At 60.7% G+C, this 22,793-nt stretch overlaps 2 protein-coding genes across 6 annotated transcripts in view, besides 11 other annotated features; one reads left to right on the top strand and one right to left on the bottom strand.

The window, feature by feature from the left end:
* Nucleotides 126–1,031: an enhancer, noted in NCBI's record as "H3K27ac-H3K4me1 hESC enhancer chr11:727187-728092 (GRCh37/hg19 assembly coordinates)". NCBI's record gives its function as "activates a minimal SCP1, AML or CMV promoter by ChIP-STARR-seq in naive H9 embryonic stem cells {active_cell/tissue: H9 hESC(naive)}" and the evidence as "EXISTENCE:reporter gene assay evidence [ECO:0000049][PMID:30033119]".
* On the bottom strand, nucleotides 491–21,987 carry EPS8L2 (EPS8 signaling adaptor L2). Of its 4 annotated transcripts, none has more exons than NM_001441192.1 (22): nucleotides 21,930–21,987; nucleotides 21,405–21,544; nucleotides 18,767–18,888; nucleotides 18,610–18,665; nucleotides 17,732–17,796; nucleotides 7,995–8,156; nucleotides 7,472–7,621; nucleotides 7,309–7,388; nucleotides 7,012–7,154; nucleotides 6,866–6,933; nucleotides 6,527–6,653; nucleotides 6,227–6,315; nucleotides 6,053–6,127; nucleotides 5,669–5,817; nucleotides 5,413–5,545; nucleotides 4,865–4,977; nucleotides 3,389–3,494; nucleotides 2,371–2,490; nucleotides 2,048–2,120; nucleotides 1,734–1,914; nucleotides 1,467–1,599; nucleotides 491–1,317 (listed from the first exon to the last, which is right to left on the bottom strand). In NM_001441192.1, the coding sequence occupies exons 3-22, from the start codon at nucleotides 18,808–18,810 to the stop codon at nucleotides 1,237–1,239; spliced, it is 2,148 nt and encodes a 715-aa protein (NP_001428121.1). In that variant the 5' UTR covers nucleotides 18,811–18,888; nucleotides 21,405–21,544; nucleotides 21,930–21,987; the 3' UTR covers nucleotides 491–1,236. The 4 variants fall into 4 exon arrangements, with proteins under 4 accessions (NP_001428121.1, NP_001428122.1, NP_073609.2 ...); NM_001441193.1 differs by having other exon boundaries at nucleotides 21,417–21,544; NM_022772.4 differs by lacking the exon at nucleotides 21,405–21,544.
* Nucleotides 1,493–1,682: a silencer, noted in NCBI's record as "silent region_3021". NCBI's record gives its function as "represses an Ori minimal core promoter by ATAC-STARR-seq in GM12878 lymphoblastoid cells {active_cell/tissue: GM12878}" and the evidence as "EXISTENCE:reporter gene assay evidence [ECO:0000049][PMID:35858748]".
* Nucleotides 2,163–2,462: a silencer, noted in NCBI's record as "silent region_3020". NCBI's record gives its function as "represses an Ori minimal core promoter by ATAC-STARR-seq in GM12878 lymphoblastoid cells {active_cell/tissue: GM12878}" and the evidence as "EXISTENCE:reporter gene assay evidence [ECO:0000049][PMID:35858748]".
* Nucleotides 6,000–6,049: a silencer, noted in NCBI's record as "silent region_3019". NCBI's record gives its function as "represses an Ori minimal core promoter by ATAC-STARR-seq in GM12878 lymphoblastoid cells {active_cell/tissue: GM12878}" and the evidence as "EXISTENCE:reporter gene assay evidence [ECO:0000049][PMID:35858748]".
* Nucleotides 6,980–7,129: a silencer, noted in NCBI's record as "silent region_3018". NCBI's record gives its function as "represses an Ori minimal core promoter by ATAC-STARR-seq in GM12878 lymphoblastoid cells {active_cell/tissue: GM12878}" and the evidence as "EXISTENCE:reporter gene assay evidence [ECO:0000049][PMID:35858748]".
* Nucleotides 7,160–7,209: a silencer, noted in NCBI's record as "silent region_3017". NCBI's record gives its function as "represses an Ori minimal core promoter by ATAC-STARR-seq in GM12878 lymphoblastoid cells {active_cell/tissue: GM12878}" and the evidence as "EXISTENCE:reporter gene assay evidence [ECO:0000049][PMID:35858748]".
* Nucleotides 7,240–7,499: a silencer, noted in NCBI's record as "silent region_3016". NCBI's record gives its function as "represses an Ori minimal core promoter by ATAC-STARR-seq in GM12878 lymphoblastoid cells {active_cell/tissue: GM12878}" and the evidence as "EXISTENCE:reporter gene assay evidence [ECO:0000049][PMID:35858748]".
* Nucleotides 17,582–18,509: an enhancer, noted in NCBI's record as "H3K27ac-H3K4me1 hESC enhancer chr11:709709-710636 (GRCh37/hg19 assembly coordinates)". NCBI's record gives its function as "activates a minimal SCP1, AML or CMV promoter by ChIP-STARR-seq in naive H9 embryonic stem cells {active_cell/tissue: H9 hESC(naive)}" and the evidence as "EXISTENCE:reporter gene assay evidence [ECO:0000049][PMID:30033119]".
* Nucleotides 19,437–20,364: an enhancer, noted in NCBI's record as "H3K27ac-H3K4me1 hESC enhancer chr11:707854-708781 (GRCh37/hg19 assembly coordinates)". NCBI's record gives its function as "activates a minimal SCP1, AML or CMV promoter by ChIP-STARR-seq in naive H9 embryonic stem cells {active_cell/tissue: H9 hESC(naive)}" and the evidence as "EXISTENCE:reporter gene assay evidence [ECO:0000049][PMID:30033119]".
* Nucleotides 20,365–21,291: an enhancer, noted in NCBI's record as "H3K27ac-H3K4me1 hESC enhancer chr11:706927-707853 (GRCh37/hg19 assembly coordinates)". NCBI's record gives its function as "activates a minimal SCP1, AML or CMV promoter by ChIP-STARR-seq in naive H9 embryonic stem cells {active_cell/tissue: H9 hESC(naive)}" and the evidence as "EXISTENCE:reporter gene assay evidence [ECO:0000049][PMID:30033119]".
* DEAF1 (DEAF1 transcription factor) overlaps nucleotides 21,135–22,793 on the top strand; it is a 62,851-nt gene continuing 61,192 nt past the window's right edge. The window contains exon 1 of one of the 2 annotated variants that reach the window (NM_001367390.1): nucleotides 21,135–21,646. The gene's annotated coding sequence lies outside the window, so the exon portion shown is untranslated. The remainder of the gene's footprint in view (nucleotides 21,647–22,793) is intronic. The other variant, XR_007062437.1, reaches the window with a different exon arrangement.
* Nucleotides 22,041–22,170: a silencer, noted in NCBI's record as "silent region_3015". NCBI's record gives its function as "represses an Ori minimal core promoter by ATAC-STARR-seq in GM12878 lymphoblastoid cells {active_cell/tissue: GM12878}" and the evidence as "EXISTENCE:reporter gene assay evidence [ECO:0000049][PMID:35858748]".

Genomic DNA, 22,793 nt, shown 5'->3' with positions numbered 1-22,793 from the left:
GCGGCCACTCACGGCAGCACATGGAGCGGCCGGCAGAGGGCACCAAAGGCCCCTCCAAGGGTGCGGCTCAGGTGGACCGCCCATCTGGCGGTCAGGTGCCCCTCCCACGCAGGGTGCTGAGTGTGGCCTGCTCCCCCTTCTTGGGAGCCTCCGTCAGCCTGGGCTAAGATCTCCAAATCCAGTTTCAGCCTTGCCCTCTGACTCATGGCCCTCCTGGGGCCTGCCGACCGTCTGGCCGAGCTGGCTCTGTCCCCACCGCTCCCACTAGGGTTGTGCCCAGCGAAAGCCGGGCTTGGATGACACGCTTTGGGCCTTCTGGTCGCTGGGCCTGGGAGGGCCACAGGAAGAGAAGTGGGCAGGGTCCCCTCTGGGCTCAGGGGCAGAGCAGCCTGGCGGACGGCCAGCCCTCTGCCCGGCACTGCTTAGAAAAGGTGCAGTTTCCGGGGGCTCCAGGACCCACTCCGACTCCCAGAGAACTGAGACACACGGCTCCTGGGAGACTTAACTGGTTTAATTGCTTAGCCCTGGTGCCTCAGCCACCTCTCATCTGTAGGGTGAGACTCAAGTCCAGGCACCAAGACACACCAGCACCCCCAACACCATGCGGGGATCATTGGCCTGAAACTTGGCCAGAGAAAGCTCCAGTCCTGGGCCTGTAAGAGTGGGCGCTGGGAGTGTCTGAAGCCGGCACGGTGTCCCCTGCGTTGTCGGCCCTTGCAGGTGAAGTGTGTGTCGTTCCCCCACTTTCCCCCGAATGGCACCCACGGCCTCCTGCTGGAGCCCCTCCCGGGCCCCCCTCAGGGAGCAGAACTCTGCGTGTGTGCGAGGTTCAGCCTGGCCAGCCTGGAGCTCCAGCTCACCCTGGGGTGTGGATGGATGTAGAAGTGGGTGGGGATGGGGGAGCATCACAGGGGCCAGGACCCCCCAGGTGCACAGGGGAGGCCAGAGAAAGAGGCCCCAGCCCCAGGGAGTTCTGTGGCCTCAAGAGAAGGTGGACAAGGGGCTGGCACCACCAAGCAGCAGGTTTGGCTGAGATTAGTCTTGGTGTGGGCTGAGGCCTTGGGTACTGTTTGGCCTAAGGATGGGCGTTGTGCCTCCAGACAGGGGCAGGGACCTCTAGCCAGCACCACACCCCCTCCGTGTCCTTGATACAAAATACATACACATATAAAAATAATACTCCATGCATTGTGGGTGGGCTTCCCCTCCGCAGGCCCCAGCCCAAGGCAGCTGGGCCTAGCTGTCCTCCCCCCTCCTCTGATTCATGGAATGAAACTTGTTCATGAGTTCTTCCAGCTCCGACCCACTTTGCTGCTTCTAGGGAGGAGAAATGGGGGCATCCTCAGCCGGGGGTCCCACGTGTCTGGGTGCCGGCCTCCCCCTTGCTCTGCGACCCCAGGAACGGGCGGGGGAGAGGAGGGCGCAGGGGCAGGAGGGGCGTGGCGCCGGAGCGCAGGCGGGCTCACCTCCAGGAAGGCCTTCTGCATGGTGAGCTGGCTGTACACGCGGACGCCCTCCTCGCCGCACACTTTCTTCAGCTCCTCCTTGTTGAGGGAGAAGAGCTGCGGCCCGGTCAGGATGCCCAGGTTCTCCACGATCCTGGGGGCGGGCAGTTGGGCGTCAGGGCCGCGCTGTGAGCGAGGCTGCCTGGCGCCCGCCCCGACAGCTGCGCACCTTCGGCCGCACCTCCCACCCCTCGCCCGGGCCCCAGCTCATCCCCCGCCCCCGCTCACCGCGGGCTGAAGGCCTTGGCTTCCAGCCAGGCGCGGACCTCGTCCGGACCCGACTCGTAGGTGAGCGGCTGGCTCACGGGCTGGCTGCGCTCCACGCGGAAGTGCCTCTGTGGCTGCGCCCTGATGTTGCTGATTTTCCGGATGAGCTCGTCGTTGACCTCGTCCATGTGCTGCATGAGCTCTGAGGGGGCGCGCGACTCAGGCCCGCCGCTGCCTTGCCCCTGCCCCCGCCCCCGGCCCAGGGACCCCCCCCACACTTCCTCCCCCAGGTGGCCCTGGGCCCGGGACCCCCGCCTCGAAGCAGCAGCTCTCACCGTCTTTGTTCCCCGGGAAGCTTGGGGGTAGCTTGTGGGTCGGGCTGGCGGGGCCCCAGTACTTCTGACCGGCCTGCGGGGGCGGGGGGCGATTAGGCTCCCCACGCCCCGCCCCCGCCTCCCAGCACCTGCCCGGGACCTCCCCACCCCGCCAATCCCCCTACAGCCCCGGCCTGCGGACCAGCCCTTTCCTTCTGCCCAGGGAGCCCTGCACCTGCCCCAGTCTCTCCAGCCGCGGGGCTGGCCTTGGGGCGGGGCTAGGCGCAGGCGGGGCTGCTCCAGGAAGCTGGGGGCTGCGACCCCAGGGACCCCCGCGGGCTCACCTGCTCGAACGGGGCGCCGGCGTCCTCCGGTCGCGCCTCGCCTAGGATGTTGCAGGGCACGTACCCCGCCTGGCCGCTGCGGCTGCGCAGCTTCCACCACTGCCGGCCGTCCTCCAGCACCTGCGGGGCGCGCCGTCAGCCCCTCCCCACACCCAGGCTCTGCGGGGCTGGGACCACCCGCTGGCGCCGCTTTACAGAGGTCGGGAGCGCCCTAGGGTCTCCCGGAGCCCCGCTTCGCTCCATTCTCTCCGCACCCCTGTTTCCACCCCTCCATCCCTCGCTGGGCTGCTCCTCCCCCACCCTGCCTCAAGGAGTCTGGGGGACCCTTTTTTTCTCGGAGACAGGGTCTCACTCTGCCGCCCAGGCTGGAATGCAGTGGTGCAATCACTGCCCACTGCAGCCTCGACCTCCTGGGTTCAGGCGATCCCCCCACCTCAGCCTCCAGAGTAGCTGGGACCACAGGCACACACCACCACATCCAGATAATTTTTATGTTTTTTGTAGAGATGGGGTTTTGAGGTGTTGCCCAGGCTTGTCTCGAACTCGTGGGCTAAAGGGATCCTCCCGCCTTGGCCTCCCAGTGCTGCGGTTACAGGCGTGAGCCGCCGAGCCAGGCTGTGGATGTGGCCCACTCCCCCCTAGCCTGCTCCACTTTCTGTCCCCCAGTGGGTGGCCTGGATTCCGGCTGGCAGATGCGGCCAGTGCAGATGTGGGGGCTCCTGGGTGGGTGTGAATGACAGGCCCCCGCTGAGTCCACGTGGTGCAGATGCTCCCCCCAGCCTGGCACAGGGGTCTCTGCATGCCTTTGGGGAGCCCCAAGATGGGAAGGCCCCTCCAACAGGCTGGGGATCCTGATCAGAGTCCAAGGGCGGGGACCCTGGAGAAAGGGGCCAGCAGCTGTGCCCCGTCCTGGCATCACCCAGCCTGGCCCTAGACCGCTCCCCACCTCCCCTGGTAGCCCCTCCCTTGAAGCCCTGCCCTGTTTCCCCCTCTTGGACCCCGTCCTCCAGCCCCTCACCTCTAGGACCTCATCCTTGAGCACCGATAGCTCGTTGGCATTTCGGGCTGTGAAGTCATACAGGATCTTGACGTACTTGGCCATGGCTGGTGTTGGCTGGTAGCCCCTGTGAGGAACAGGAGGGGCTGAGGCCCAGTCTGGTGGGGGTCTCCTCTGAGACCTGGGCAGTGGCTGGGGGGCAGCAGCTTCCCAGGTGCACGACTGGCTGCCTCTTTTCTGTTCTGGAGGTCACCGTGGAGAGAGGCTGCAGGCAGCGTCAGCCCGGAATGGAAACTGTGACAGCCCCAGAGCTTTGGGGCCCTGCGTGGAGGCGGGGCAGGCAGGAGGTGGGCGTGGCGCAGGGGCCTGTGGTACAGCAAGGCTGGCCCATCCCAGGCCACCTCAGGGGTCTCCAGTCCGGCACCCCAGGGGAACCAGAGCCAGGGGCGTTCCTGGGAAACGCCAGGGTCACAGCTCCCCGCAGCTGGCCAGTGAGGGCCAGCATGTCTTCAGAGCCGTGGCCCCTCTGAGGACTGAACACAGCCCAAATGGTCCAGTGGAGGACGGGTCTCAAGCTCCTCTCTGTGGGGTGGGACCTGCACCTCAAAAGCGCGGGGGGGCTGGCCCTGGCTGAGGGGTCCTGGCTTTGGCATGTAGCAGGCCTGTGGCTGTCACCTGGCCAGGCCGTCCATCCTGGTCAGTGTGGCCCTGGTCATCAGGGCAGCTCCCGTGTCCAGGTGCTCAGGGAAATGAAGTGGCCATGGACTGTCAGGACATGGCCAGGGTGGACAGACCAGGAGCTGAAGTCAAAGGGTGGAAATGTTTTTAAGTGTGGTCCTAGGCCAGGGACCACGGGAGCCAGGCTGACACTGTGGGTGAGGGGAGGCCATGCTTGCTTAGAAGATGGATTGCTGGCCCCTCTTTACCCCAAAATTGAATCCTGGGGTGTGGGAGGGTCAGGGGCTTCCCATGCAGATTGGACCAGGAATGAGCACAGAAGGGAAGAGGAGAGGCAAGGAAAGACGGGACTCCCCTAGTGCCATAGGCTTGTTCTTTGTCCTCTTTGGAAACAGGTGGGGCTGGGGGTGGGAGGAGGGGAGAGGCTTCACTAGCCCAGAACCCCAGTCTCCTCTTTTGGCTCTACCAGAGGTTGGGCCTGAATCAGTCCCAACAGCCCCAACAGGGTGCCAGTGTTTGGTGAAACCACTCAAGTTCAGTGGTTTAGTAGTTTCTAACCTTGGTTCTAAAACATACATGTGGATGCACAGAAAAAGCTGATATATTAGGGTAGAGAATTTGTGCATGACTTTTGAAATGTTTCCTTTAATTATATATCATGCAGTTGAAATGAAAACCGCTTCAAATCTGGAAAAGTATTTTAAACCACTTGAACAATGCACTTGCCACCACCTGGTGGCAGCGTACCCATATGTTTTTAGAGACTGTAGGTTCTGAAGGGTTTCACTTTCATGCTCCCTCACTTTGAGGGGGGCTTACCTGTGAGTATGTGGGGAGCTGACTGGTGGTAGGGCATCCCCCGGGGGGGTGGGCTCTGAAGTGGGGCTGTGCTTCTGGGAGTTTCTTATGGACTGTCGGCTCACTGGACTCACCTGTGGGGAAGGTGGGCGACCTGAGTTAGACATGGGGCGGGGCTGGGTCCCAGGACGAGGGGGCATATGACAGGGGCTGGGCTAATGTCCTGTGACTGATGCATCACTGAGGGTGATGGAGCCTGATGCCCGGTGATGCCAGCATGGGTTGCCTCTCCTGGCAGGGGCTAGGGGCAGCTGAGCTGTGGCTGAAGGGGCGGTGGGTGGAGGTGGGCTGGGGAGGGGAGCTCTGGGGAGGGGTGGGTGTCGGGGCCGGGGAGGGGAGCTCTGGGGAGGGGTGGGTGTCGGGGCTGGGGAGGGGAGCACTGGGGAGGGGTGGGTGTCAGGGCTGGGGGGGGAGCTCTGGGGAGGGGTGGGTGTCAGGGCTGGGGGGGAGCTCTGGTGAGGAGTGGGTGTTGGGGCTGGGGTAGGGATGGGGGCTGCTGGTGCTCTCACCTCCTCGATGGGGGCAGACGCCAGCCCCTCCACCTCCCAGGGGGCCTCCTGCAGCACATCCACAGGAGGCTCCCAGCCGCTGTGGAACTTGGGCACGTAGAGGGGCACCTGTGGCTCCCGCGGCCACTCGGAACTGGGGTGAGAGGTCCTGAAGTCAGCCCTGCCTCTCCAGAACTGGCCCACCAGGACCCCCTTGCTGGCCCCCATGCAGCGCTGGCCCCCCATGAAGCCCCGGCACTGCTCTGCCCTGCCCTACCGGGGCCGCATCCAGCTCTCTCCCAGTGACTCCCACAGCGACATCTCCTTAGGGACCAGGTGGCCGCGCAGGAAGTCCACGGCATCTCGGGAGAGCAGTGGGCAGGAGACGGAGCGTGCGATGTCTGGGCCACTGCAGGTGTTGACGATCTGGGGCACAGTGAGGTTCAGAGGGGACTGAGGCCCACAGACCCTGGCCCAGCACCCCCGTAGCTCCACAGGCTGGCCCTCGGGAAGGGACTTTGGACCCCAGGGAGAGTGGCCACACAGCGTGAACCGGGCTGCCCAAGGCGGGCACCTGCTGCCCCAACCCCGACCCCGGGGAGATGCTGCAGAGGCCTCTGGGCCCCCACCCTGCGCGCCCCTGCCGCCCGGCCCCAGGCACCAGGTCCAGAGGCCCGAAGAGGAAGTGCACGAGCTCCGCGGCGCTGGGGTTCTGGATGTGCTTCTGCAGCTTTGCCTGGGGGTGGGAACAAGTGAGCAGGTGCCGGGGCGGGGCGGGGCCTCCACCCTCCCCTCAGCACAGACAGTGGGGCAGGGCTGGGGCCACCGGACCCACCAGCAAGTTAATCGCCAGCTTGATTTTCTGGAAGCAGTCGATGAACTCGCCCTCAGAGGGGGGCCGTGCCCGCAGTGTGAGGACGCCCTCTGGCATGGGAGGCACCGCGTGAGCCAGGCTGGCCCTGATCTCCCCGGCCCCTGCGCCTTCTGTCCCACGCAGCCCATCTGTGTGGGCTGGACCTTCCTCCACCTCCATGAGTAGCCCCCATGGATGTCCCTGGCCCCGTCCCCGTCCCTGTCCCCTGCACCTGCTGGCCCCGTCCCCTGCACCTGCCGGCCCCGTCCCTGTCCCCTGCACCTGCTGGCGCCTTCTTGCCCTTCTTCTTCCCCTTTTTCCGCTGGTTCAGCTGCTTGAAAGCCTCGGCTGCCTTCTGCAGCCGGGCCACAAACCACTCGATGTCGTCCAGGGCGCAGTTGAGGATTTGCTGGGGTCAGAGGGGGTCAGGGGTCAGCCCCTGACACTCCCCACCGCCCCGCCTTGCTGCAGGGACAGCCCCACAGATGATGGGAGGAGCTGGGCCCCACACCTTCGGAGGGGCAGCCACAGGCTGGGGACTGGCCGGAGGGACAGCAAGGACCAGTGTCCACTGCTGGGGGCGGGGAAGAGAGGGGCCACCTGCCGGGCCCGGGCACCCACCGTCTCCTTCTCTATCTTCTGAGCCAGCACGGCCCGCGGCTCCTCCTGCGACTCCCGACGGCGGAAACCTGATGGGGGACACGGCGGCTGCTCACCGAGCCCCCCACAACGAGCCCTGTGGAGCCCCCTCCAGCCCCTCGGCCCACCTGGCTCGCTGAGTGGCACCTGCGGGCCCACGCGATTCTTGGCCTCCGGGGAATCCCCGCCGCGGTGCTGGAAGGGGATGGGCGCCGGGCCCTGGGGAGGAGGCAGGATGGACTGCCGCTGCCGAATCTTCTCCTGGTGTCCCCTGGAGGGCGAGGGGGTCCTGCTCAGCCCCGCCGGGAACGCACCTGACCCTCCCTCCCTGCCGGGCTCCTCCCCTCCCCTGCCGGCTCCTCCCCTCCCCTGCCGGGCTCCTCCCCTCCCCGCCCCCTGCGACCCCGCTCCGCCCGCTGCCCTACTTCAGGGTCTGCGGCCGCATCTTCTTGCCCAGCCGGCAGTCGGCCAACGCGCTCTCGATGTCCTCGTGCACCAGCTCTGCCTGGGAAAGCGGGCGTCAGGCGGCCAGGAGGGCGGGGCGCGGCGCGGCGGGGCCCCACCCTGCCCCGCCCGGCACCGCCTCACCTCCACCTCATCGCAGTGGAAGAAGTGGACATCCGGCTTGCTCTGCTCCGAGTCCTGGCACACGAGCAGCAGCACAGACGGGTAGCGCAGCTGGTTGAGGACCGTCTGGCTGCGCTGCACCGTGGGCAGCGGGAAGTCTTCCAGCTCCTCCTGCGGGTACATCGCGCGGACACGACTCGCACCCGGGGTCTGGGCACTCTGGCAGGGAGTGGCCGGAGCTGTGGACAAGCCTGGAGCACAGGCCCCTCTGGCGCCGCTGGGGAATGGGCTCCCAAAGATGAGGACTAGGCCCGGGACACACCCCGCAGCTGTACCGCAAGGCTGACCCCGGCTTCCAAACTTCCCTGGACTCTCAGCTCTATGCGGCCCTCTGCCCACCCTTGTCCCATCCTCTTCCAGGGACCAGAATGATAGGGCATGGCCGGCCCTGCAGAGAGGACCGGCCGCACATCCGGGCTGCAGCCGGTGGCTGCCACCGCCTCTACCCACTGTGCTCCCTGTCCCCCGTGGCGCTGGGCCCCACCTGTGACTCGATGTCCAGCAGCCGCAGCGACTGGTCGTTCACCTGCAGCAGCATCTCCTGGGTCCAGATCTTCTCCTTGGAGCTCAGCTGCACCAGCTTCCGGATGGCGTCGTCCACAGACGTGATGGCTTCGCTCTTGTCCATGATGAATGTGGCCAGGTGCTGGGGGTGGGCAGGTGGTCACTGCTGGGCAGAGCCCTCCTTGTGTCGAAAGCCCAGCCCCCAGGGGCCACAGCCTGAGGGGCTGAGGGGCCACAGCCAACCCTGGGTAGGGGGCTAGAACGGGGACCGGCCCCGCCTTTGGTGGGGGGAGTCTCTATTCTGCCTTGGCAGGCATCTGTAGGGGCCATGCTTGTGTCCTGAAACTATCCTCAAAGGAATTCCAACTGCTGCCCGGCCCCGCGCCACCATCCTCACCCGCCCACCTCCTGGTGCAGGCTCAGTACCCGCCCACTGCACCAGCTTTGCCAGCCTCCCCAGCTCTCTTCCTTCTCAGACGTCCCCTCTGTGGCCACCTGGCTACAATGCCAGCCGTCACCCCATCCCGACCTGCCCTAATTCCCTGAATCAGACCCAACGTCGCGCTGCACGTGGTGTGCTGTGCGTCCAGCGTGCTCGCTACTCCAAGGCACTGTTCCGGTTGCCACTTGCTAAGCTGTGTCCCCAGGTCCAGGGCAAAGCCTGGTGCACAGAGGACCCTCGACAAGTGTGTGCGGGATGCGTCCATCCCTGAGGATCTGCGGCCAGCCTGGCCCCTGCCCTGTGCCCTTCACCTCTCCTCTTTCCAGGCCTGGCTCAGGCCCCCTCCTCCAGCCAAGCTGCCGTGTTCACTAAGTAAAACCCTCCCACGAAGGGTTGGCCGTTCGGTGCACAATGCTGGCACAGCTGGATAAACACTAACTTGAACTACAGGACAGTCAAAGACAACCACAAAACGCAAAACATAAAAGTTTGTGTGGCCGGGCGCGGTGGCTCACATCTATCATCCCAGCACTGCGGGAGGCCGAGGCGGGTGGATCACCTGAGGTCAGGAGTTCGAGACCAGCCTAGCCAACATGGTGAAACCCTGTCTCTACTAAAAATACAAAAAATTAGCCAGGCATTGTGGCGGGCGCCTGTAATCCCAGCTACTCGGGAGGCTGAGGTGGGAGAATCACTTGAACCCAGGAGGCAGAGGTTACAGTGAGCCAAGATTGCACCACTACACTCCAGGCTGGGCAACAGAGGAAGACTCTGTCTCAAAAAAAAAAAAAAAAGATCGGGCGCAGTGGCTCATGCCTGTAATCCTAGCACTTTGGGAGGCCGAGGCGGGTGGATCACAAGGTCAGGAGATTGAGATCATCCTGGCTAATATGGTGAAACCCCGTCTCTACTAAAAATACAAAAAATTAGCCAGGCGTGGTGGCAGGCGCCTATAGTCCCAGCTACTCGGGAGGCTGAGGCAGGAGAATGGCGTGAACCCAGGAGGCGGAGCTTGCAGTGAATCAAGATCGTGCCACTGCACTCCAGCCTGGGCGACAGAGTGAGACTCCATCTCAAAAAAAAAAAAAAGAAATTAAAAAAATTAAAAAATTAGCCAGGTGTGGTGGTACACACCTGTCATCCCAGCTACTTGGGAGGCTGAAGTGGGAGGAATGCTTGAGCCCAGGAGGTCAAAGTTGCAGTGAACCATGTTCGTGCCACTGCACTGAGCCTGGGCAACAGAGAGAGACCCTGTCTCAAACTAAAAAAAAAAAAAAAAATTAAAAAAGCATGCAAAAACTCAAAGAAAAAATTGTATGCAACACCATTGAATGAAAGAATTACAATTTGAAACTCTGAGCCTCTTTTATTTTAGTGTTTTGTCGGTTTGGCGGGTTTTTTTGTTTGTTTGTTAGTTTTTGTTTTGTTTTTGAGACAGTCTCGCTCTGTCCCCCAGGCTGGAATGCAGTGGTGTGATCTTGGCTCACTGCAAGCTCCGCCTCCCGGGTTCAAGTGATACTCCTGCTTCAGCTTCCCGAGTACGTGGGATTATAGGCACCCACCACCACACCCGACTAATTTTTGTATTTTTAGTAGAGACAAGGTTTCTCCATGTTGGCCAGAATGGTCTCAAACTACTGACTTCAGGTTATCTGCCCGCCTCAGCCTCCCAAAGTGCTGGGATTACAGGCGTGAGCCACCATGCCCAGCCTCTGTTTGGTTTTTGGTTAACAATTTTTTTTTTCTTTTTTTTGAAACGGAGTCTCACTCTGCTGCCCAGGCTGGAGTGCAGTGGCGCGATCTCGGCTCACTGCAATCTCCGCCTCCCAGGTTCACGCCATTCTCCTGCCTCAGCCTCCCGAGTAGCTGGGACTACAGGCGCCTGCCACCACGCCCGGCTAATTTTTTGTATTTTTAGTAGAGATGGGGTTTCACCATATTAGCCAGGATGGTCTCCATCTCCTGACCTTGTGATCTGCCCGCCTCGGCCTCCCAAAGTGCTGGGATTACAGACGTGAGCCACTGTGCCCTGCCTATTTATTTTTTCTAGAGACAAGGGCTTGCTATGTTGCCCAGGCTGGTCTTGAACTCCTGGGCTGAAGCGATCCTCCTGCCTGTGCCTCCCAAAGTGCTGGGATTATAGGCATGAGCCACCTCGCCCAGCCAGGAATTGTGTTTTTTTACCTATTCTATTGCCCAATACTAATAGTCATTGTGGGTTTTACTTATGGGTTAGGATGTGGAGAAAGGATGCCCTCATCCAGCACCTGCCCAGCCTCTCTGGGGAGAGGCCAGTGGCACCTCTAAAGCTGCACACACCATCCCCTCCCAATTCTACTACAGGTAATCTGCACACGTGCAAAATGTGGCATCGGTACCAGGCTGCTCAATGCAGAACTATTTGTAATAATAAAGACTGGACCCAGCCTACATGTCCATCAACAGGTTAAAGAAGTGGGCAGATCCAACAGGTTACAGTGGGCACAGGGCCAGACACGGTGGCTCATGCCTGTAATCCCAGCACTTTGGGAGGCCAAGGCAGGTGGATCACAAGGTCAGGAGTTCGAGACCAGCCTGACCAACACGGTGATACCCCGTCTCTACTAAAAATACAAAAATTAGCCCGGCGTGGTGGTGGGCGCCTGTAACCCCGGCTACTCAGGAGGCTGAGTTAAGAGAATCACTTGAACCCGGAAGGTAGAGATTGCAGTGAGCCGAGATCGTGCCATTGCATTCCAGCCTGGGCAACAGAGCGAGACTCTGTCTCAAAAATAAATAAATAAATAAAATAAGTGTGCAGAAACACGCAAGGGACTATGAGGCCACTCATCTCTCTGCGAGAGGCAGAGTAAAACCTGAAACACACAATACAACCAAACAAGAAAAACCAGGCTGCTGGGCCACAGAACAAGTCTCAGTAAATCTCAAGTGACTGCAACAGTACAGAATATGTTTTTTGATCATAACAGAATTAAGGTAGAAACCCATAATAAAAATAAAACCAGAAAATCCCCAAATGTTTAGAAACAAAGCAACATATTTCTAAATAACCCATGCATCAAAGATGAAGTCACAAGAAAACTAGAAAGCATTCTGAACATACATATCACAATTTGTGGAATACAACTAAACCAGTGCTGCAAGGAGAATGTAGAGCTTTCCATGAATATCTTAGAAAAGAAGAAAGACTTAAGATCAATAATCTGGCCAGGCACGGTGGCTCACGCCTGTAATCCCAGCACTTTGGGAGGCCAAGGAGGGTGGATCACTTGAGATCAGGAGTTTGAGACCAGCTGGGCCAACATGGCAAAACTCTTGTCTGTACTGAAAATACAAAAATTATCCCAGCACTTTGGGAGGCTGAGGCAGGCAGATCACAAAGTCAGGAGATCAAGACCATCCTGGCTAACACGGTGAAACCCTATCTCTACTAAAAACACAAAAAATTAGCCGGGCGGGGTGGCGGGCGCCTGTAGTCCCAGCTACTCAGGAGGCTGAAGCAGGAGAATGGCATGAACCTGGGAGGCGGAGCTTGCTGTGAGCTGAGATGGTGCCACTGCACTCCAGCCTGGGTGACAGAGCGAGACTCTGTCTCAAAAAAAAAAAAAACCCCACACAAAAATTAGCCAGGCATGGTGGTGCATGCCTGTAACCTCAGCTACTTGGGAGGCTGAGGCAGGAGAATCGCTTGAACCCAGGAGGCGGAGGTTGCAGTGAGCTGAGATTGCACCAGTGCACTCCAGCCTGGGTGACAGAGTGAGACTCCATCTCAGAAAAAAAAAAAAAAAAAAAAGATAAATAATCTAAGGTTTCACCTTAAGCAGGTAGGAAAAGTGAATCAATGCCGGGCGCGGTGGCTCATGCCTGTAATCCCAGCACTTTAGGAGGCCGAGGCAGGCGGATCGTGAGGTCATGAGATCGAGACCATCCTGGCTAACGCGGTGAAACCCCGTCTCTACTAAAAATACAAAAAATTAGCTGGGCGTGGTGGTGGGCACCTGTAGTCCCAGCTACTTGGGAGGCTGAGGCAGGAGAATGGCGTGAACCCAGGAGGCGGAGCTTGCAGTGAATCAAGATCGTGCCACTGCACTCCAGCCTGGGCGACAGAGCAAGACTCCATTTCAAAAAAAAAAAAAAAAAAAACAAAAGAAAAAGATAAAGTGAATCAAATAAAACCCACAGTAAGTGGAAGGTAGAAAATTAAGAGGAGGTCAACGCACTTTACACAGACTACTGACAGACACAAATCAACAGAGCCCAAAGTTAGTTATGAGAAGGTTAATAAACTTGGTAAATCCCTAGCAAGCCTGATCAAGAAAAATACTAGAGAAAACACAAATTCTCAAAAACCAGAACAAAAGAGGGGGCATCACTACAGATCTTACAGGCAGGAGAGGGGATTAATAACCGAAACCTTCCCACAAAGAAAATCCTGTGCTCCGAGGGCAGCACTGGCAAATCCTAACAAATATCTAAGGAAGAAACAATAACAAGCTTTCACAAACTCTTTTTTTTTTTTTGAGACAGAGTCTCACTCTGTCTCCCAGGCTGGAGTGCAGTGGCGCAATCTCAGCTTACTGCAAGCTCCGCCTCCGGGGTTCACGCCATTCTCCTGCCTCAGCCTCCCGAGTAGCTGGGACTACAGGCACCCGCCATCCCACCTGGCTAATTTTTTGTATTTTTAGTAGAGACGGGGTTTCACCATGTTAGCCAGAATGGTCTTGATCTCCTGACCTTGTGATCTGCCCACCTCAGCCTCCCAAAGTGCTGGGATTACAGGCATGAGCCACCGCGCCCGGCCCACAAACTCTTTCTGAAAACAGAAGAGGAGGGAATACTTCCCCACCCATTTTATAAAACCAACATAACCCTGCCACACAACCTGCCATAGGCATTATACGAAAATTACAGACCAGTACCTCTAATGGACATCAACACAAAATACCCCTAACAACAATATTACCACATCAGTCCCTCAACACAGGAAAAAGGATCACACACTTGGAATAAATGAGGATTAGGCTGGTTCAACATTCAAAACAGTCAATCAGTGTGGTCCAGTACATTGAGACTGTCTCAAAAAAAAATAAAATAAAATAAAATAAATATAAAATAAAATTTAAAAATTAAATAAAAAAATAAATAAAATAAAATAAAATAAAATAAAATGGATCCTGGCCCTAAACGCAAAAGCCTACACTGGGAAGCATCCAAAAGAAAACACAGGAACTGGCCCAGCGCGGCGGCTCACGCCTGTAATCCCAGCACTTTGGGAGGCTAAGGCTGGTGGATCACCTGGGATCAGGAGTTCGAGACCAGCCTTGCCAACATGGTGAAACCCCATCTCTGATGAAAATACAAAAAATGAGCCGGGCATGGTGATGGATTCCTGTAATCCCAGATACTCAGGAGGCTGAGGCAGGAGAATTGCTTGAACCCAAGAGGTGGAGGTTGCAGTGAACCAAGATCACGCCACTGCACCCCAGCCTGGGTGACACAGCAAAGCTCCACCTCAAAAAAAAAAAGAAAAAAGAAAAGAAAAAGAAAACACAGGAACTTCCACAGTGAATTCCTAATTTACAAAAAATAAAAGAAAACACGGAAGAAATCTCCAGAAATTTGGTCAAAGGATGACTTCTTAGGATGCCAAAAACCCTAAACCATAAAAGAAAAACACATACGAATGGACATCATAAAAATTAATTTCCACTTATCAAACCACAATGATGGAGGCCGGACGCAGTGACTCAGTCCGTCATCCCAGCACTTTGGGAGGCAGGTGGATCACCTGAGGTCAGGCACTGGGGACCAGCCTGGCCAACATAGTGAAAACAGGTGGATCACTTGAGGTCAGGCGTTGGGGACCAGCCTGGCCAACATGGTGAAACCCCATCTGTACTAAAAATACAAAAATTAGGCCAGGCACGGTGGCTCACGCCTGTAATCCCACCACTTTGGGAGGCTGAGGTGGGTGGATCAATTGAGGTCAGGAGTTCAAGACCAGCCTGGCCAACATGGTGAAACCCCATCTCTGCTAAAGATATAAAAAATTAGCTGGGTGTGGTGGTGCGTGCCTGTAATCCCAGGTACTGGGGAGGCTGAGGCAGGAGAATCACTTGAACCCTTGAGGCGGAGGTTGCAGTGAACCAAGATCACGCCACCGCACTCCAGCCTAGGTGACAGGGTGAGACTCTGTCTCAGAGAAAAAAAAATTTAGCCAGGCGTGGTGGCGGGCGCCTGTAGTCCCAGCTACTCAGGAGGCTGAGGCAGGAGAATGGTTTGAACCTGGGAGGCAGAGGTTGCAGTGAGCTGAGATCGCGCCATTGCACTCCAGCCTGGGTGACAGAGCGAGACTCCGTCTCAAACACACAAACAAACAGAAACTGTGGTGATGAAGGCAGGCAGGTGTTGCCAGAGGTTGGGGGTAGCCACCAAGGTCGGGGATTCACAGGTTTGGAGTGATGGGGCTGATGGGTCGACTATGGTGGCAACAGAACCACACCCCCACGTACACATGGCTTTTACTGTGTGATAACTTAGAAAAAAGCAAACCATGGACCCGGGCTCAGGTGCCCCCCACCCACTGTCAGGGCCAATCTGATCCGGCCCCCACCTGGCTGGAGAGACTTCCCACCAGACTCTCACCCTCTCTCTGGTCCCCAGTGTCCTCATCGGGGAGAGGCAGGAAAGCCCCACCCACCCTCCACTCCTCACTCTGTTGGCCTCTGGGCAGACGAGGCTCCTGCTGGCTGGGGGCCAGGCCAGGCCAGCTGGGGCCAAAGTCCAGGAGCCAGGCTGAGAGGCCCCAGGCTCCTCCCGAAGAGGGCAGAGTCCCTGAGAAAGGTGGTGGAGCTGCCCAGGAAGAGGGGACTAAAGTGAACTCGGCCACTGCTCTGTGCCTTCCCCTGGACACTGAGCTGGCCGAAGTCACCAGCCTGGCTGTATGCAGGGTCTAGCTGCCCAGGCTGCTGGGAGGGCCCTGGTCACCCAAAACAGCCCGATTCAAGAGCTCAGGGACTCCTGATGGCTCTTTGGACCCATTGTACAGACGAGGAAACTGAGGCTCAAAGAGTAGTGACCTGTCTCACCTCTGCAGGTGTGGAGGACAGCAAGGGGGAACCAGGGGGCATTTTGGGCCCCCAGCCAGGGCTGTTTGTGGCAGAAAGGACTGGTCCTGCAGGAGGACCCAGCTCCAGGCTCCCTCACCCTCCCTCCTTTTCCTAGTCCTGTAGGCTTGGACCACAACCGGAAGCCCAGCTCGCACCCAGGCTTGGACGACAACCGGGAGCCCAGCTCGCACCCAGGCTTGGACGACAACCGGGAGCCCAGCTCGCACCCAGGCTTGGACGACAACCGGGAGCCCAGCTCGCACCCAGGCTTGGACCACAACCGGGAGCCCAGCTCGCACCCAGGCTTGGACCACAACCGGGAGCCCAGCTCGTACCCAGGCGCAGGGGCCTTTTTTTTTTTCCTTTTGAGATGGAGTCTCGCCCTGTCCCCCAGGCTGGAGTGCAGTGGCGCAATCCCGGCTCACTGCAACCTCCATTTCCCGGGTTCTAGTGATTCTCCTGTCTCAGCTTCCCAAGTAGCTGGGACTACAGGCTCCCACCACCACGTCCAGCTAAGTTTTGTAGTTTTAGTAGAGATGGGGTTTCACCATGTTGGTCAGGCTGGTCTCGAACTCCTGACGTCAGGTGATCCACCCGCCTCGGCCTCCCAAAGTGCTGGGATTACAGGTATGAACAACCGCGCCTGGTCCCTTTTTTTTTTCTCTTTTTTGAGATGGAGTCTCGCTCTGTTGCCCATGCTGGAGTGCAGTGGTGTGATCTCGGCTCACTGCAACCTCCGCCTCCTGGGTTCCAGTGATTCTCCTGCCTCAGCCTCCCGAGTAGCTGGGATTATAGGTATGCACCACGACGCCTGGCTAATTTTGTATTTTCAGTAGACATGAGGTTTTGCCATGTTGGTCAGGCTGGTCTCAAACTCCTAACCTCAGATGATCCACTCACCTCAGCCTCCCAAAGTGCTGGGATTACAGGCGTGAGCCACCGCGCCTGGCCTAAGACTCTGTTGCCCAGGCTGCTGGAGGGCCGTGGTGGGATCCTCCTGCCTGAGCCTCCCAAGTAGCTGGACTACGAGCTCACACTACCAGGCCTGGCTAGGAGGGGGGAGGATTGCTTGAGCCTAGGAGTTTGAGACCAGCCTGGGCAACATAGGGAGACTTCCATCTCCACAAAAAAATAAAATAATTAGATGGGCATGGTGGGGCCAGCCTGTAGGCCCAGCTACTGGGGAGGCTGAGGTGAGGGGATCACTTGAGTCCAGGAGGCGGAGGCTGTAGTGAGCCAAGATCGCACCACTGCACTCCAGCCTGGGCACCTGGGTGACAGAGCTAGACCCTGTCTCAAAATGAAAGAAAGAAAAGAAAAGAGAGAGACAGAGAGAGAGAGAAAGAAAGGAAGAAAAAAAGACACACACACACACACACACACGCACGCACGCACACACGCACACACGCACACAAAACCCCCCAAAAAAACATTTCCTGAGTTCTCCGTGTCAATGAAACTGACCTAGGAGAACAGAAAAGCCCTCAGGGCTGGCGGCTGGTCCGGCGCGTGCAGGCAGCCCCGTCTGAGCCCTGAGAAGCAGCCCGGGCCTCCCTGAATCCCCCATCAAGGGCGTCTTTGTTCTGCCTGCTCCCTCCCGATACAGTTCCTCGTTTTGGGGCCAGGATGATCATCTCCTCCAGGGGCTCTTCCCATCCAGGGCTGGGCAGCAGCCACAGTGTTTTCCCGGCACACCCTGGGCTGCCTCACCCCCCAGGCCGCGAGTTCCCAGGACTGGAACCAGAGGGGCGCTTTCCCCGGCCCCGTGGCTGAGCCCGGGACAGTGTGGGCAGTTCTGGCTCTGGCCTCCCCCGGCCCCGTGGGTGTCAGAAGCTGGGCTGACCACTCTCCCTGGAGCTTTCCTCCCTTCCTCCCTTCCTCCCTTTCTCTCTTTCTCTCTTTCTCTCTTTCGTTTTGAGACAGGGTCTAGCTCTGTCACCCAGGTGCCCAGGCTGGAGTGCAGTGGTGCGATCTTGGCTCACTACAGCCTCCGCCTCCCGGGCTCAAGTGACCCCCTCGCCTCAGCCTCCCCAGTAGCAGGGCCTACAGGCCGGCACCACCATGCCCGTCTAATTATTTTATTTTTTGTGGAGACGAGAACCTGAGGACAGCCATGTCCTGAGGGTGCTCCCTGGGGGCGGAGCCTACCTGGGGGCGGGGCCTTACCTGGACGTGGTACTGCGAGGTCTCGTGCATGATGACGTTGGAGTTGGAATACTTCTTCCTCTGCTCTGAACCGGGAGACACCAGTCACTCCCCCGACGGGCAGGACCCACAGCCTCCCGTCCAGTTGGGACTGGACCCACAAGGGAAGGTGGAGTCAAGCGGAGGGAGGCTGCTCCGTGGACCTCTTGGCCACCAGGAAGGATGTGGGTGTGAAATCAGGACCTGCAGGAAGCCCCCTCCCTCCCTCCAGGGAAGCCCCCTTGGAGAAGGACGCAGCTCGGAGAAGGCGATGGGCTTGCTCTGAGTGGAGTGGGGACCAGCAGCCTGTGCCCGGGGGGTTTCTGTCCCGGAGGGTGAGGGGACAGGAAGGGGGTCCCAGCCCGGCTTCTTCCCACTCTGAGAGCTGCCAGCTTCACTCTCCCTGCCCTCCCAGGTCTTCTCGCTTTCCAGACTAGGCACCTTGTCCAAAGACATAAGTGAAGGGTGCATCTAGCTAGCGAGAGGGCAGGGTCGTCTCTGGGGAAGGGCAGAGTGGGGGGAGGTGGGGGCTGGCCAGGCCCCCCTCCTGGAGCAGACACCTGGCGGCTTATCCTGCCTGAACCTCGCTGTGATCAGGTTACAGCAATGAGTGCAGCGGAATCAATATTGATGCTCCCTGAATTATTAGTAAAGGCCTCTCCCCTTACGGGTGTGGGGGAGGGGATCCAGTGGCCAGGAGCTTTCGGAAGGTTGATTAGGGTCCAGAGGCCTCCCTGGGCACCCGGAGATCCCCTGGGCCAGACCAGGCACAGCTGTGGGGCAGGAGCAGCTGTCCCCCACCTGGATGCAGTGCCCATTTCTCCCCTGTGACGTCCAGCCCGTTCTCAAACCTCACTCACCAAACAGGTCCTTGGGGCTCATCTTGGCCACACCGTCGGACCGGCCCAGGCTGCCACTGCAGGGGAGGGGCTGTCAGGGCAGGGCCAAACTGCACCCCTCCCTGGGGACTGTTCAGAGGGTGAGGGTGGGGTATTCGGGATGGGTGGGAGGGCTCACTTGGTGGCACCCGGGCAGCAGCTCACGGCCCCGGACTGGCTCATGGTGTCTTGGGTGGCGGCCAGCGGGAGAAGGGCAGACCTCAGTGTGGCCCCGGTCTGAGGCCAGTGCCTGTCCCACACCTGGGTGGACAGAAGGGCTGCGCTGACACTTCCTCCGGCCTGGCTGGTTCCTCCCCTCCTTCCCTGGGCCAGATCCCTGACTGGCCTGGCCTGGGTGGGGGTCCCTTGGGGGGCAGAGCCCCTGCCCGACATCCCAGTTGGCCCCACGTCCCAGTTGGCCCCACGTCCCAGTTGACAGTCGATCAGCCTCGTCATGCCTCAGACCCTAGGTGCTCCACAGGGACCCCCCAGAGGCTGACTGGGAGGCTCTGACAAGGGCCCTGGGGGCAGAAGGCGCCTTCCAAGCTGGGCAGCATGGAGTTTAAGGCCCTGGTGCTGTGGGGAGGGGGGTGGGATGGGTAAGGGGAGGGGGATGAGGTGGGAGTGTGGGGGGAGGGGGGTGCGGTGGGGGTTGGGGGAGGGCGGGTGGGAGCTGCAGGATGGCAGGAGAGGTGAGGCTGGAGTTGGGGTAGGTCCTGAAGTCCAGAGGGAGCCCGGCTCTAGCCGCCACTCCTGCCCCACCCCAGGCCTGCACCCCAAGGGGCTCCTGCACCCACATGTGGACTTGCCACCCACACATGCCACCTCTGTCCAGGCCCCAGCAAAGAGGCTGGCCCTTGGCTCTTTCCTGGGCCTGGGAGACCTGGCAGGGAAGAGGCTGTGCGGGCAGGAAACCCTGGGGTCCCCGGGGTGCAGTGTTTCCTCACCTCGAGGGCAGGGATGCGGCCAGGTGGCCAGCGCAGAACCCCTGGCAGCAGCCAAGCCTAGGGGAGGGACTGGAGGGCAGGTGTGGTGGGGGCTGAGACTGGGAGCCAGTCCAGTGGCCCCAACACACAGTATCACTGCCCCTCCAACGAGGTAGGGTGGCTATGGGGCAGGTGCCTCTGGCCTCCCCCAGGGGCAGAATCCTCAGAGCCTGTCTCTGGGCTCCTAGTGCTGACCTCTTCCCCGAGCATTTTGGGGAAACTAAGGCCCAGCCGCCAGGGCAGACAGGTGGGTCTGATTTGGGCTGGACCCTAGGGGCTTCCCGGGGGGATGGACAGAGCCTGATGGCCCTGAACCAGGCTGACTTGTCCCAAGGGGACTATGCCCTGTGGGGACCTGGCTGTTCTGTGGCTCTGTGATCAGCTCCCCACAGGTCCACACCATCTGCCTCCTGCCAGGGCTGCAGGGCTGTCCCCTGTGGCTTCAGAGTTTGGGTCTGCCACGGTGGGGGTCACCAGCCACTGCTGTTGGTATGGAGGGTCAAGGGAGTGGCTCGGAGCACCCGGGACTTTCTGGTTTGACCAGGTCTGGCCTAGTGGGAGGGTCTGGGAGGCCCGGGGGCACTGCCGCTGACATGAGGGGCTGGGTGCACCAGGGGGTATGGCCACTTCCTCCATCCATCTATCCGTGGAGAATGTCTGGAATGTTCACGGGCTCAGTGGCGAGCCTGAGTGTTTGCTTAATGGGATTCCTGGCGGGCTCCACCAAGGGCGCCAGGCACGTGTGTCCAGGCACACACCTGGGCGAGACACCAACGCACCCTTGCAGACTCAGGCCTGGGGGCACGCAAACATGGAGGGCTGTGACACGCGACCCCCCTGGGGAAGGCCAGGTTCCTGGCCTTCGGTTGCCTGCAGGGCATCGGGGACCTCAGGCCCAGGCAGGGCCGGGCAGCAGTGGGGTGGGTCCAGGTGTGGTGTCTGGGTCTGAAGCACATGGGTATGGGGCTGCCTCCTGCCCTGTGGGAGCCCCGCCCCCCTGGGGAGGCTTCTTTGGCCCACTGGTGGTGGGGACGAAGCCCTGGAGGCCCAGGCTGCACTTTGTACTGTGGTCATTTTCCCGGTGTGAAGTGAGGCAGAGCGGGGTGCCCGGTCAGTCGGGCTGTGGAGGGGAGGAGGTCCCAGCAGGGCAGGAGGGTAGAGGGACGGGCTCCAAGTTCAAGTTCCAGCTCCACATGCTGAGTGACCTTGGGGAGGGGTCAGCTGAGTCACAGGGGCTCCAGGCTGCCCTCATAGGCGCTGGGTGGGGCCCTGGAATGGGGAGGCCCCTCAGGCCCTGGCCCTGTCCTTGTTTGGAAGCTATGGCTTGAGGGAGGAAGGGATAAGCTGGGGAAGCTGAGGGTGGGAAAGGAGACCGAGGCAGGCGGAGAAGGCCCGGTGGGAGAGCTATGCCAACAAGGCCTGGGTGCTAAGCAGGCCCGGGAGAGGCTGGGACCCAGGAGGGGCCGCGAGGGGAGGAGGGGCCGCGAGGGGAGGGGCCGCCGCCAGCTGGGCCTGCCTCCCAGCACAGCCGACCCAGGACTGAGCACGGGGTGGGTGGGGGCAGAGGTCCGGGCATGCCCGGCCCTGCCTCCCCCTCCCCTGCCACCAGGGACACCCCGCAGCAAGGGGCAACGCCAGGCAGCTGGACGCAGGGACCAGGAATCTAGGATGGCTGAAGTTCGCGTGCCCACAGGCTCCTGCCAGCCCACCCTCCTGCCTCTCCTGGCAGGGCCTCTGCAGCCCCTGTCCCAGCCTCCCCTCCTCCCTGAAACTCCCACCCCCAACCCTGACCTGGAGACTGACCCAGCTGGTGCTTCCCGGCCACTGGTTTCCTTCTGGGCTCCGACACCCAGGAAGTGCCTCCTGGCTCCGGCCCACAGGGAGTGGGTGTGCAGTGCTACCTCCACGGTCAGGCCCTCGGGAGGGTCCTGCTGCTCACAGAACCGGGAGAAGCCTCCCTACCACCAGCGCTCTCCGGACGCAGGGATTGCCCCCACCAAGCCCCAGAGCTGGGAGTGGGCAGGACGGGGCAGGTGAGTCACCCATCGCTGGCTTAAAAATATCCTTGCTCGCCGGCCGCCGCCCAGGACCGACGGGGGCAGGCCGGGCTGCAGCAGGACCCGTCCAGGAGAGGTGGGGACTCGACCAGGCCCCCAGCCCCTTGCCCCGCGCCCTCGGCCCGGCCGCCCTCCAAGTGCCCCGCGCCCTGCGACGCCGCGTTCGTCCCGGTGTCCTGAACCAGAAGCCCCGCGTCCCATCGCCACCGGGTAAACTGAGGCCCGGGCGGGCGCGCTCCCCCGTGTCCGCAGCGCTCACCTGCCTCCGGCGCCCCGCGCTCGGCCTGTCCCCTCGGCGCTCGCCGGTGCGTCCGTCTGTTCGCGCCTCGGCCGGGGCGCCAGGTCTCCCGCGGGCGGGTGGGACGCTCGGCGGGGCCGGGCCGGGGCGGGGCCGGGAGAGGAGGAACCTGAGCGACAGGTTGCGGAGTCACCCGAGAGCGGGCGGGCGCGCGGGGGAGGAGGGCGTGGGATGGAGGCGCCCCCGCCGGCCTCGGACCCAGCTCCGCCCCGCCCCCTGCCCCGCCTGGGCTCCAGCCCCAGCCCTCTGCGTCCTCCCCAACACCCGCCTGGTGTGCCCCTCCGCGGGCCTAGCCCCTAGAGCTGGGGCGCTGGGGACAGGCGGGGCGCAGGGCCGCCTCCGCGGGATGAGCAGGGCGAGGCCTCGAGCTCTTCCTTGGGCAGGGCCTAGCTGCGCCCCAGCAGGCCGGGGGACGGGGGAACGCTGCCAATGGGACTTCGGGGGCAGCGCTGGCGCATTGCTGGGGAGGGCTCCAGCCCTGGGGAGGTCAGAGCCTCCGCCGGGCCAGGTGCACCCCTCAGGTGCCCCAGGCATGGGGCAGAGTCACTTCCCTTACCGGGCCCACCGCAGGCCCAGGGGCAGAGGCTTCGGTGAGTGGGTGGGTGTCAGGCAGGACCCAGCCATGCCCACCCCAGGCCTGGAGCCCTGAGTTCACAGTGCAGCTGCTCCTCCAGGCCCCCCTTTCTGCCCAGCCTGGGCACTGAGGGATGGGGTGTCAGGGGAGGTGGGGACACCTCAGGCCCTCTCAGGATGCCTCTCTCCTTGCACTGCCCCGTGGTCAGGCCCAGGCCCCACCTCTGCCCACCACAGTGGGACTGTCTGGTT

This window comes from Homo sapiens, chromosome 11 (assembly GCF_000001405.40).
Source record: "Homo sapiens chromosome 11, GRCh38.p14 Primary Assembly".
In the NCBI taxonomy this organism is placed as follows: Eukaryota; Metazoa; Chordata; class Mammalia; order Primates; family Hominidae; genus Homo; species Homo sapiens.
The sequence above is the reverse complement of the archived record's forward strand: the minus strand, read 5'-3'. Positions and strand labels throughout refer to the sequence as shown.

Excerpts from the sequence above, each read along its gene's own strand:
- EPS8L2 (NM_001441192.1), bottom strand. The coding sequence starts at position 18,810 with ATGAGCCAGTCCGGGGCCGTGAGCTGCTGCCCGGGTGCCACCAA. Across the intron at positions 7,622-7,994 it reads TGCTGGACATCGAGTCACAG|GAGGAGCTGGAAGACTTCCC; the intron begins GTGGGGCCCAGC and ends ATGTACCCGCAG. Across the intron at positions 6,128-6,226 it reads AGCTGGCGATTAACTTGCTG|GCAAAGCTGCAGAAGCACAT; the intron begins GTGGGTCCGGTG and ends TCCCACCCCCAG.